The sequence below is a fragment of the Homo sapiens genome, chromosome 17 (assembly GCF_000001405.40).
Source record: "Homo sapiens chromosome 17, GRCh38.p14 Primary Assembly".
NCBI classification, from domain to species: domain Eukaryota; kingdom Metazoa; phylum Chordata; class Mammalia; order Primates; family Hominidae; genus Homo; species Homo sapiens.
Window position 1 is genome coordinate 72690522 of NC_000017.11, and position 13562 is coordinate 72704083.

The 13562-nt window shown below is 48.6% G+C and overlaps 1 protein-coding gene across 16 annotated transcripts in view; it reads right to left on the reverse strand.

Moving 5' to 3' along the window:
* SLC39A11 (solute carrier family 39 member 11) overlaps positions 1 to 13562 on the reverse strand; it is a 446740-nt gene that overhangs the window by 44573 nt on the left and 388605 nt on the right. Inside the window, exon 8 of one of the 16 annotated variants that reach the window (XM_011524495.4) lies at positions 1885 to 4545. The exons of the other annotated variants lie outside the window; for them this stretch is intronic. Coding sequence (XP_011522797.1) covers positions 4392 to 4545 — 154 coding nt within the window. The 3' untranslated portion in view covers positions 1885 to 4391. Of the gene's footprint in view, positions 1 to 1884; positions 4546 to 13562 lie in introns of those variants that run through there. 16 annotated transcript variants of the gene reach the window in all.

Below are 13562 nucleotides of genomic sequence, written 5' to 3' on the forward strand. Positions count from 1 at the left end.
GCATTATTCACATCACCAAAAGGTGGAAACCACCCAAATGTCCATCAGCTTATGAATGGATCGACACAATGAGATGGACATGTAAGAGAGTATTTTGTGAACAGTTCTATAACCTCCTTCCTTCTTGTGTTATAATGCCCTTTTGGTTCCCCCAAATCCTTCAGTGACATCGGAGACACCAGATGCACCCTGTGGTGGTGGGATGGAAGGAAAGAGAGGTGGTGGAGTCTCAGGGAAGGGAGGCCCACTCTATAGACTCCACTCCACCCTCTCTCATAAGACCATCAAGCACTTGTGAAGGTCACAGCAGGGCTCCTGGTGTGCCCGAGACCAACAAGACCAGGTCCAGTGCAGGGCTGGGAGGGGAGAGGAGAACACAGCTCCAAGGAATGGCAGTCACCTGGAAACGTCTAGAGTAGATAAACCAGACCAGATTTCCCAAATCTGTACAAGGGAGGAAGTGGCCACACTGGGGAGGGGAAAGTCTCAGAAGGGCCACACCATTTTATAGGAGGACTCTCAAAGGCTTAGCTCAAAGGAATGATTCCATACATGGAGTCTGCACAGGTGAGGGCAGACTAGGGGTGGGGGACCTCCTGGGAGCTTTCTCCAAACACAGATGCTGACTCTGGAGGTGAGGCCTACTGAACAACCCCGAGGGTGATTCAGAAGTGCAATCCTCACAGATGACCATGTGCAGGGAGAAGGGACTTGGAGTAATCTTGAGCTCAATCCTGGCTCAGGCATTTCCTAGAGGTGACTTTGGGCAAGTTATTCTTTCCCCCAAATTCTCTGCACCTGTTTCTTTCCGTGTCAAGTGTAGACCCGGCCTTACCCTTGGTCCAGCCCCTCTGAGATCTATTTCATGTATATAAAAAAAAAATGGTTAGCCAGTGTAATCACCTGATAACTAATGGTCCTTCCAGCAGACAGATTCATCTACTCACTTGACAGTTACTTACTGAACACCTACTTTGTGCCAGAAATGTAAGAGTTGACGGTTTCGTCCTCATTCGCTGTTTCCACTAACAGTTCAGTGGCTGGATCAAAAGGTATTTTCAATGAAAAACAGTACATTAAATAATTTCAGCTGTTTGAGATGAATTCCACTAACATGGAAATTGTGAACCTGTGGCATTTTGGAGAATTATTCATAAGTGGAAACTAAATAAAAATACAGCTTGTGCATGCTCTTGACTCACACTGGAGTCATTCCCATGCGTAGATGACTTTCATTTGGGAATGTTTTCTCTAAAACATTCCCAGAACCTTGCAAACATAAAGATTTCTGGATCAGATCTTTCTCTGCCAGCTACGACACTGTCCAAGTTTGGTCAACAGTGCCAAATAGGAGGTTTAGCACTATATAGGATATGTGACCTCTGTCCTTGAGGAATCAGGAGACAGGAAACGGGACTCGCCTGCTGAACCTGGGAGCCTGTGCCTAAACAGGGGGATTATAATCCCTCCCCCACCTACCTCAAAGTAGTGGATTTTTTTTTTTTTTGAGGCGGAGTCTCGCTCTGTCACTCAGGCTGGAGTGCAGTGGCGCGATCTCGGCTCACTGCAAGCTCTGCCTCCTGGGTTCATGCCATTCTTCTGCCTCAGCCTTCCTGAGTAGCTGGGACTACAGGTGCCTGCCACCACACCTGGCTAATTTTTTGTATTTTTAGTAGAGACAGGGTTTCACCACATTAGCCAGGATGGTCTCGATCTCCTGACCTTGCGAACCACCCGCCTCGGCCTCCCAAAGGGCTCAGATTACAGGCGTGGGCTACCGCGCCCGACCAAAATAGCGCATTTTTATTAAACTGCTCAAATCCTACAATGATGAGGTGATGCATTAGTCTGTTTTCATGCTGCTAATAAAGACATACCTGAGACTGGAAAGAAAATGAGGTTTAATTGGACTTACACTTCCACATGGCTGGGGAGGCCTCAGAATCATGGCGGAAGGCAAAAGGCACTTCTTACATGGTGGCAGCAAGAGAAAATGAGGAAGAGGTAAAAGTGGAAATCCCTGATAAACCCATCAGATCTCATGAGACTAATTCACTATCACGAGAATAGCACAGGAAAGACCAGCTGCTATCATTCAATTACCTCCCCCTGGTTCCCTCCCACAATTTGTGGGAATTCTGGGAGATACAATTCAGGCTGAGATTTGAATGGGGACACAGCCAAACCCTATCAGATGGGGTGGGGATGAGAACAGAGAGGTAAAGAAAGTTGTTCATGTGTTCACATCAATGTCCATGAGATACTTGTACACACAGGACAACTTGGGACTGGAAAAAAGAAGGAGGGGCAGAGAGCATGGAGCTGAAACCTCATGGCTGGATCTCAGCAGCACCTCATCAAAGCACTCACTCTCATCTGGACGGGGCTCAGACCTAACCAGGGTCTGCTTTCTTAGACAAGACCTGTTTGCCAAGAAGTGCTAATATTATACACAATTTGGATACACCCAGCACTAAAAGGATATTAAATACTATCAGCATTCTAGGGGTTTTATCGGATGCCAAATATCTTCTTATAAACCAAACATCTGGATCAATTTGAAATTAGAGTCCCAAGACAAAAATAGAAGGCAAAAGGGAAAATAATGAATCTCAAATTCAAAGGCAGCCTCCAATCTAGGTCAAAAGGCTGAGCCCTCATGAAGACATGCCCTTTGGCCCCCCTCCCCTGGGCCCACCCACCCTCCCACTGTCCTCTTGTCCCAGGAAGCTGTGTGAGAACATGCTCCTCAGGTGCCCCCACTTCTACAAAGCTGCAGGGAACACTGACCAGCCAGCAAGCTCACGGTCTGGGAAACTTCCTTTCCTCTCTCCTCCCCATCTTTAATCAAAACAGATGTTCAGACTGGCAGTGCTGCCCTCTCTTTAGAATGCTTTAAACAGGCAGCTGCCTTGATGCCGGGTAGGGCTGGGCCAGGAGAGCTCAAAAGCCTTTAAACATTATTAAAATGTTTTACTTAAAAATTAGATCAATAAACTGTCCATTCCTTGGGCGGTCGCACAATAGTAAGCATCTTGCTTTCCAAGCGTGGCAGATCTCACGAAAGCCGCTGCACGCTCAGCAGCACAGAATCCAACAGCACCTGAGACCCACAGCCAAGGAAACAGCAGCCCGCAGCTGCCACAATCAACTTCCTGGAGGACAAATGGCCATGCCACTCCTCAATCTGGAGTACAATGGCGCAATCTCGGCTCACTCCAACCTCTGCCTCCCAGATTCAAGCGATTCTCCTGCCTCAGCCTCCCAAGCAGCTGGAATTACAGGCGCCCACCACCACGCCTGGCTAATTTTTTGTGTTTTTAGTAGAGACGGGGTTTCACTATGTTGGCCAGGCTGGTCTCGAATTTCTGACCTCGTGATCCACCCGCCTCGGCCTCCCAAAGTGCCGGGACCACAGGGGTGAGCCACCGAGCCCAGCCCCCAGCTCTTTATAGAAAAAGCACCCACCTCCCTGCCCTGACTCTCCCGAGGGGACAGAGTCCTCTCCTTGCTCAGTCTGGGGCTGGACTGAGGGAGTCCCAGAGGAAGAAGAGGAGGAAGATAGAGGAGGTTGTGCTGGGCTTCCCAGCTTGCAGCATGGCTGGCAGACACAGTCTTGGGGAAGTGGAGCCAGCGGTGGGTGAGGCAGGGTGGCCCGAGCCCTCTCTCATGCTGGCTCTGCTGAGCATGGGGACTCCTGAGAAGGGGGTCTCACAAAATCCACTGTGAGGTTGCCACCGGGCTGTGGAACATGTAAATGAAAACCAAAGATGGTGCTTCATTCTGAGCTCATGTGATTTTCTTCTTTATTAAACTTCAGGAAGGAGAGCTAGAATTGGCTCCTTAGGATACCTCCCCGAGCCCTGGTACCCATCGTGGCTTCCTTCTCTGGCTCCTGTTTCAGAGACTTTGGAAGAACTGTCTCCTTGGTCTCAGACATCACGATACCCGGATCTCAGCTGCTCGCCACTGTGCAGCTGTCTGCAGGGCGGCTCTGTGGGGCTCCCCTCCATTGCCCCAACCACTGCGGGACTTGTTTTGTAGCAGGGCTGGTTTGGAAATTCCTTTTGGGTCACCTCCAGTGGTTCCACGGCAAGCTAAGGAATGGTGGCCAGAAGATGACGGACAAAACTTGAATACGAAGGTGGAGGAACCTTGTGGGCAGGGTGGGGTGGTCCCCTCAGGGTCCGTCTACCACAATCCAAAATAGCATTTTCCCTTTGACAAACCCTGGGCCACCAGAGAGAAGACCTGGGGCTGGGGTCTGCTGACTGTCATCCCAGGCTACTTTGCCTTGCAGATGCTCCTGTCCTGGCTCTGTGAACTGGAGATGCTGGTGGCCTCCATGGACATCCATTACGATATTTCCTCCCCGGGAGAGTCTCTGTCTCTCACTCCATCTTTCTGGACCGAGGCCAGGCAGGTGCTGTGGGCATGGCTGCCCTTAGTTGAGCATAGACCTTCCCTTGACCCTTCTTTTGTGATCTCCTCCCTTTAAGAAGCAGCTGCCCCTTTCTTTCTGCTGGTATGCAGTTCCTTGGTTCTCTTTGGAAATCAAGGGAATGGGGTACACAAAGGTCAGAAATGCCAAGAAGGGTAGAAACGGGAAGTCTGTTTTGAGTTACTCTGACCTCATCTCCCAGAGGCCTCTGTCCCTCCCTTGATTGGGTCTCTGCCTCAGTGTCTCCTCCTCAAACAGAACCCTCTCTACCCCCACTCCTCCCTATCATGTTCTCAGGAGTTTTGAGCCATTCCTGGCTTGAGTTTTTCTTCCCGGCACGTAGTATCCACAGCCTGACATGTCCACATGCATCTGCTCATCCAGGGAATAAGCTCCATGAGGGAAGGAGCTGCCTGGGCTGCAGCCAGCTGGATTCTGTGCCTAAAACAGGGCGCTGCACCCCCTGGGTGCTTCCTGGCAAGCTGTTATTGCTGAATATTTCTCCCATCCAAGTACTAACTGGGCATTATGGCCATAGACTGAAAACTTCTTTCCTTTGGGAGAAATCTCACACAGAAGAGGGTGCAGAGGGTTGCATGGTAGTCCCCAAAAGATAGCCATGTCCTAGAACCTAGGAATATGATTTATTTACAAAAAAAAGGGTCTTTGTGGATGTAATTAACTTCAGGAGGTAGAGATAAGATCATTCTAGATTATCTAGGTGGGCCCTGAATTCAATGACGAGTGTCCTTAGAAAAGACAACCAGAGGAGAGACCCACAGAGGAGAGGAGGAGGAAGGCTGCGTGAAGTGAAGGCAGAGACAGAGACCGGAATGATGCGGCCACCAGCCAAAGGATGCCTGCAGCCACCAGGAGCTGGAAAGCAGCAAGGAAGGGTCCTCCTTCCAGAGCCTGCAGAGAGCACAGCTATCTGCTGGCACCTTGATTTCCAACTTCTGTCCTTGGGAAGTGTGAGAGAATCAACTTCTGCTGTTCTAAGCCACCCAGTTTGTGGTAATTTGTTAGGCAGCCACAGGAGACTAATGCAGGGGCAGGCACCACCACACCTGGATGCTGGGCGTGGTGAAACAGACCCCGCTATGGGGCAAAGAGTCTGCAAGGAGAGACAGACAATAATTAAGCGAGGAAAAAAGTGTATATAATTACAGCTTGTGAAGATCTCGGAAGGAAACAGGTGGGATTGGGAGTCATGGGGCAGGGGGAGGGGAAGGCAGGAGTTGGCATTTCAGTTGCGGTCCAAGGTGGAGATCGGAAAGCATGGCAAAGCCTGAGTCCCCACCTGGCTCCTTACCCCGGCCTCTGAGTCTACTTGCTCCTTCCCCTGTCCTCCACCCCACAGGAGGGATGATCCTTCTAAGCACAAATAATAGCAGTCGCCATTTACAAGGTACCTACCAGGACAGCTGCAAGAGGGGACGTGGCTAATACTAATCCCCATTCTAAGATCAAAGAAGCCAGGCTCAGGGAGGGTAAGTGACTCTTCCATGTTTAAACCGAGATCTGATCCCGGAGTCTGTTCCTGTTCCGCTGGGCTTAATGGACTCTCCTCACCATTCCCATCTCGCTCAAAAGCGCCCAGGTGTTGTCTGCTGTCTGACATATGAGACCCACGCTCCTCAGAGAAGCATTCAGGGCCCCCTATCTCTCTGATTTCCATATAAATTTTCTTCCAATCTACTGCCACACCCCACCAGGGAACTTCCAATGTATCCACACAGACCTACTCACCTGTTTTTAGCACCTTTATGAACCTGCTTTTAATAATTATGTTATAAAGTGTATTATAAATCATATTATAAAAAAATACAATTGTGACATTGTTACTGCCTACCATTTTTGAGCCCTGCTATGTGTCCTGCTCTGTGCTAGAGGCTTGGCCTGTATGATCAGCTTGCGGTTACAAGCGCCTCATGAGATACGCTTCAGCAGCTGCGTTTTATAGACAGAACTTAGGACCCTGGCCCGAGACTGCTGATTATGTGTCTGGGCCCAATGTGTTCTACTACATTCTGCCCACAATGTTCTTGTTTCTTTCTGCTAATAGCCATAACACCAGACGTTTCATTTTCACGGCTTTGCAAAATACTTTTACATATTTCTTATTCTTTTTCTTTTTTTGAGACAGGATCTCACTCGTCCCCCAGGCTGGAGTGCAGTGGTCTGATCACAGCTCGCTGCAACCTGGAACTCGAGAGATCAGGTGATCCCCCCATGTCAGCCTCCTGAGTAGTTGGGACTACAAGTGCACGCCACCACTTCTGGCTAATTTTTGTATTTTTTGTAGAGATGGGGTTTCGCCATGTTGCCCAGGCTGGTCTCGAACTCCTGAACTCAAGTGATCTGCCCACCTTGGCCTCCCAAAGTGCTGGGATTACAGGTGTGAGCCACCAAGCCCCTGGCACATATTTCATTTTATTGCAAAAACTTTCCTGATTATCCCCAGATGAAGGTGTCTATCTTCAATTTGCTCCCAGTAAGATCAGGGACAGAGGGTGGAGGCTCTGGGGAGAGGCTCTGTCTCACCCAATCTCCCACAATCTCCATCAGTGCCCATCACCACCACACCATCTCAACGAAGCCCAAAATCCAAGTGTTCCAAACAATGAGCTCGCTATGCCACAGTGCAAATCCCTGGGTTGCTCTGAAAATCAGATCACCAGTGGCAGCTAAGTCCTCCCTCTGAGAAACACTGAGTCATATCCCCTGGCAGGGACCATGACCTCTGCTCCATTCTGTCCCCCTCAGAGCAGAACCCCCCACCCCCGCCCCGACCCTCATGATCCTAGGGGCTCCATAAATGCTCCTATGTCTGATTTGACTGATACACTCGCCACGTGGATGGGCTCAGGAAGGATGAGATACCACACAATACTCCTGCCAATGCCCCCTGGCTGTAACCCCAGGGCTGGGCAATTTATGAAGTAGACAGGAGCCACACAAGCTCCGTTATCACAGTAAAAGCCTTGTCCAGGAACAATGTTGCCTTTCAAATTGTTTTCCGCCTTGGACAGTGGATTTATAAACTGAACTGGTGGCTAGGAACAGAAGCCCATCTGCAAAGACTAAACGCCTTGTTCTACGCGGGCCTGGTTTAGTATTATCCTGATAAGATAAACACAGATCATAGCTGGCTGGAGGTGGGGTACTTTTCTATATGTGTCTCCACGTCTACTTTTACTTATGCACAGGCTGAAATTGGGGGACTGCTTTGCAAGTTAAAGGGAGAAGAAAAAGCCATTTTCTGGATCTCTTTCCAGAAAGGAAGTTGAATGTAATTATAAGATGTTAGGTTTGTCTCTAAATAGCTCAGAACTAAACTGATGTGGTTACTCTCCAAAACCGTTTATTGCATTTTCAGTGTGGTAAAGTTGGTTTGCTATTGTTGATAATTGTTGAAGCTGGATAACACACATACGGGGTTTATTATGGTATTCTCCTATTTTTATGTATATTTACAAGTCTCCATAATAAAAACCAAAAAAAAAAAAAAAAAAAAGGCAGTTGGGTCTGAATATATGCTGTAGCTGTGTGATGAGCATATGGGGTTTTATGATTCTAGTATTCTCCTTTTTGGGTGTTTGCTTAAAATGTTACATGGTTTAAAAAAGAAAAGACAAAAAGAAAAGTACTTTGGTTGAACAACAGTGACTTAAAGCCACTTTCCTTTTATTTATTCATTCAGCAAATATTTATTTGTGCCATATATTCTTCTAGCTACTGAGAAGACAGAAGTCCCTGCCCCAGTGGAACTGGCATTATCCCCACGGTACAAACATTCCTCCAGTGTGAATACCTGGAGGGGCTTTCACAGCAGTGAAAGGGTAGCTCTGGGGTGTGGAGGTTGGTTCTTTTTTTGTTTTGTTTTGAGAGGGAGTCTCGCTCTGTCGCCCAGGCTGGAGTGCAGTGGCGTGATCTCGGCTCACTGCAAGCTCTGCTTCCTGGGTTCACGCCATTCTCCTGCCTCAGCCTCCCGAGTAGCTGGGACTACAGGCGCCCGCCACCACACCTAGATAATTTTTGTATTTTTAGTAGAGACGGGGTTTCACCATGTTAGCCAGGATGGTCTCGATCTCCTGACCTTGTGATCTGCCCGCCTTGGCCTCCCAAAGTGCTGGGATTACAGGGGTGAGCCACAGCGCCTGGCCGGAGGTTGGTTCTTTGGGAGGGGACCGAAATCACTCTAGACCATGGGTGTCCAATCTTTTGGCTTCCCTGGGCCACACTGGAAGAAAAAGAATTGTCTTGGGCCACACATAAAATACACTAACACTAAGGCAGCTGATGAGCTAAAATAAAAAAATTTTGCAAAGAAATCTCATAATGTCTTAACAGAGTTTATGAATTTGTGTTAGGCTGCATTCAAAGCCATCCTGGGCTGCATGTGACCTGTGGGCCATGGGTTGGGCAAGCTTGCTGTAGACTTTGCTGGGAGGTAGGGGCAAAGAGGAGCGGCCCTGGCTTGGCCTGGGAATCTATCCAGTCTGTTACTCTTAAGCACCCTACAGCAGCTCAGATGGAGGGAGAGGAGCTTCAGGAAGCCCCTGCAATGTGTGCTGGTCTATCCATTCATTCATTAATAACAGCTGCCTCCTTGTCCCTCCTCTAAGGCTGAAACATATTTCTAGAAAGAGTTTAATCCACTCCTTGCCTTGGGGCCATGCTGTAAACACTTGGGATAGATGCCTGCCTATCCCACATTTAAAGATCTCTGGGGACAGAGCAACCCTGAGACAGAGCTGGCAAGGGCGGCCAGGGCTGTGGATTTGTCAGCCAGGGACCAGGGGACAAAGCCTTCTGTGTTGCTCTGTGCTGTTAACTCCACCGCATGTGATTCATCTTACTTGGCAGGGGATGGGTAGCTGAAATCCTGAAATCACTAGCTTTCGGGTTTGCTACCTACATCCGCCCCTCTGGAGGCCCTTTTCAGCATCTGGGGTTTGGTAGAGACCCACACCAAAAAAATCAGTCCACGAAAAACCTCAACACAGGAGCTGGCCTCCTCCAGAGTGGTACTTCTGGTACCTGACTTATGGCAAGATAGATCAGGGGTTTCTGCAAGAACAGAAGCTCTTGGGAGACGAAGGTTGAATGTGTAATCTTGGTTGCCAGTCAGCCTGCCATCGTGCGCCTGGGGCGAAGGGACATGATGCTGCTGGCTTCTTTGGCGGGAGATGGGCAAAGTTTGGGTCAGCATCTTTGTTAAAATCCGTATTTCACATCCTGTGCTTGTTCTACTGCATTCTACCAGGACAAAGAACTTGACTGCAATTTTATTTTTTAATAGTTTTCCATTAACAGTTGGGGTGGAGCGGTCATTTTAAATCTCAGAATCATAAAGTCATTTCTATCTAATCTTTGGGCAGTAAGTACAGCTGCTTCTGAATCACATACAGTTTGAAGGAAACCTAAAATGCCAGGAGGACATTTAACTATTTTTATATACAACAGCCAACATCTGGATGTATTCAGTGGTTTCTGAACATCTCCAAGATACACCGCCATGAAAGGCGGGGCTGGGGACTGCCAGGGAAGGGACACAGGAGTCAGAATGCACAGCCCTGCCCCCAGGGTCCCCAGGCCTTAATGAAGGAGACAGAACAAGCAATCCAAGGCAAGGGCAAGAAAGGGGTAAGACAGAGGTGGGGCTGTGTATTAGTCCGTTTTCACGCTGTTCATAAAGACATACCCAAGACTGGGCAATGTACAAAAGAAAGAGATTTAATGGACTCACAATTCCACGTGGATGGGGAGGCCTCACAGTCATGGCAGAAGGTGAAAGGCACATCTCACATGGCGGCAGACAAGAGAAGAGTGACAGCCAAGCGAAACGGGTTTCCCCTTATAAAACCATCAGATCTCCTGAGACTTATCCACTACCATGAGAACAGCATATGGGAAACCACCCCCATGATTCAATTATCTCCCACTGGGCCCCTCCCACAACATAAGGGAATTAGGGGAGCTACAATTCAAGATGAGATTTGGGTGGGAACATAGCCAAGCCATATCAGGCTGACACACGTGGTACACGTGGGCCCTGCACAACCTGCAGCCTGAAGCTCCACCAAGCTCAGATGGGACGACGTGCTTGGGGGCCACATTCACCTTCCATCACATTCCATCCCAGTGGCAGAGCTGGGAAACTTTGGAAGAACTGGTCTCATTTTGCAGTTCTCACCCAGATGTTTGGCATGGTTTTGGCACTGCCAACAATGCCTTCCAGGAGGTTAAAGACCTGGAATTTCGCCTGAAGAGAGGGAGGTGTGGAGGAAGCTGATCAAGCCTCAGAAGTGGGGATCTATGGAGGACAAAAACTAGCTCCGCTCTCCACTGAGGAGGGCACACAAGGACGTGGTGTTGAGGGACCATCTCCTTGTGTGGCGATGCTAAGCAGGAAGGCTGTGGGGCCAGAAAGAGCTCTTTCAAGAGATAGTGAGTGATGCAGTTTAAAGAACAGAGACCTGGCTAGGCATGGTAGCTCATGTCTGTAATCCCAGCACTTTGGGAGGCCGAAGTGGGCAGATACCTGAGGTCAGGAGTTCGAGACCAGCCTGGCCAACATGGTGAAACCCTGTCTCTACTAAAAATACAAAAATTAGCCAGGTGTGGTGGTGCATGCCTGTAGTCCCAGCTACTGGGGAGGCTGAAGCACAAGAATTGCTTGAACCTGGGAGGCGGAGGTTGCAGGGAGCCGAGGTTGTACCACTGTACTCCAGCCTGGGAGACAGAGGGAGATTCTGTCTCAAAAAAAAAAAAAAAAAAAGAAAAAGAGAAAGAAAGAAAGAGAAAGAAAAGGAAGGAAGGAAGGAAAAGAAAAAAAAAAAGAACATAGACACGCAGAGTGTGGTGGCTCACGCCTGTAATCTCAGCACTGTGGGAAGCTGAGGTGGAAGGACTGTTTGAGCCCAGAAGTTAAGTTTGAGACCAGCCTGGGTGATATAAAGAGACCCCATCTCTATAGAATGTTTAAAAATTAGCCAGCTGTGGTGGTGCCTGCCTGTAGTCCTGGCTACTCAGGAGGCTGAGGTGGGAAGATTGCCTGAGCCTGGGAGATGGAGGCTGCAGTGAGCTGTGATCACACCACTGCACTCCAGCCTAGGTAATGGAGTGAGACTCTGTCTCCATAAAATAAAATAAAAAAGAACATAGACATTTCTCAGGGTGGACAGATCACTAACCTTGGATATACCAATCCACATGCTCTCATAAACTCGCAAGCTAACCCTATCTTCCTGTGTTCTACTGAGTCCAAAGATAGGAGGCTACTGTTTTTTTCTTTAGGCAGCACCTAGCACAGTGGCTGGCACATAGTAGGCCTTCAAGTGCTTGAAGCATGTACTACCTAGGGTGGTGGTCTCAACCAGGCCAATTTGGACCCCTAGGGAACAGTGGGCAATGTCTGCAGACATTTTTGGTTGTCACAACTAGGGGGAAGGCATCTAGTGGGAAGAGGCTAATGCACAGGGCACCCCCCGCCTACAACAAAGAATTATCTACCAGATGATCAACAGTGCCAAGTTCTAGAGACCGACGGTCTTCCACTCTACCAAATGAGTCATCAAAGTACACGACAGTGCCAAGTTCTAGCAGTCATATTTGCACAAAAGCAGGAAGGGTCCATGGGAGAGTATGGGAATTCCTCTTTTCCAGGGAATTTTAAGAGTGGATTCCAGCCAGGCATGGTGGCTCACAAATGTAATCCCAACACTTTGGGAGGCTGAGGCGGGTGGATCACTTGAGGTCAGGAGTTCCAGACCAGCTTGGCCAACACGGTGAAACTCCGTCTCTACTAAAAATACAAAAATTAGCCAGGTGTGGTGGTGCATGCCTGTAATTCCAGCTACTCAGGAGGCTGAGGCAGGAGAATCGCTTGAACCCTGGAGGTGGAGGTTGCAGTGAGCCAAGATCACGCCACTGCACTCCAGCCTGGGTGACAGAGTGAGACTCCATCTCACCAAAAAAAAAAAAAAATGGAAGAAAGGAAAAAAAAAATTGATTCCCTCTGTCTTTGTGGGGTTGGGAGTCAGAAAGAAAGAAGACATAAATGGGCTGCCTGATCTCCTAAGCTCCCTTACCGCCCCATCACCAGACACCAGAGCTGTCGGTTGGCAGGTCTTCATCTGTCTGCCTCTTCCTCCCACTTGGGTTTATTTTATAGGCTTTTCCTGAGATATTAGGGGGTTTCCATCAGGAGTGGATCCCTTCCAAACCACAAGGCAATGAAAAGTCCTGCATGTGGGACTGATGTGCTGGTGTGTATGTGCTTTAGGAGCGAGAAAGACAGCAACATAAACCCTGTGCATCAAAGCCAAATCCCTCTACACTCAAGTTCCAACTTGCAGAAATTTTTATAGCCAAGTAATGATATGCAAAGCTGATGGCCTTTTAATTATAGCAGTTCCGTGTGGGGAGAAATAGGAGAACTATTATAATAAGGAGACACAGTAAGCAAAAGAACACCTTTGAATGGGCATTTTCTTGCTGGGGTAAAGGTAACATGGGGGGTTGGGGGGCGATACCCCACAGGGTTCCAAGCATGTCACCCACATTCTTTGTCTTGACAATATGCCCGTGAAACACACAGAGTAAGGTTTCCTGCCCCCACTTTTCTGATGATCTGTTTCTCCATGGCCAAACTGAAGTCCAGACAGATTCAGTCCTTAAATCCATTTTGGAAAACTGTTAACATCCATGGCCAACCAAGATCAACTCAGAGTTTTCAGAAACCAAGAACCTGAATGAACATAGGAGATGTTTAGCTATCTTCTATCTCAGTGTCTCTTTGGGAGAGGCTTAGAAATTAATTTCTCTGTTTGATGATCCCTAAACAGAGGAACCCACCTCAAAATAAGACAAACTGTTGGCCGGGGGTGGTGGCTCATGCCTGTAATCCCAGCACTTCGGGAGGCCGAGGTGGGTGAATCCTTTGAAGCCAGGAGTTCAAGACCAGCCTGGCCAACATGGTGAAACCCCATCTCTACTAAAAATACAAAAATTAGCCGGGCATGGTGGCATGCGCCTGTAGTCTCAGCTACTTGGGAGGCTGAGCCATGAGAACCACTCGAACCTGGGAGGTGGAGGTTGCAGTGAGCTGCGATCA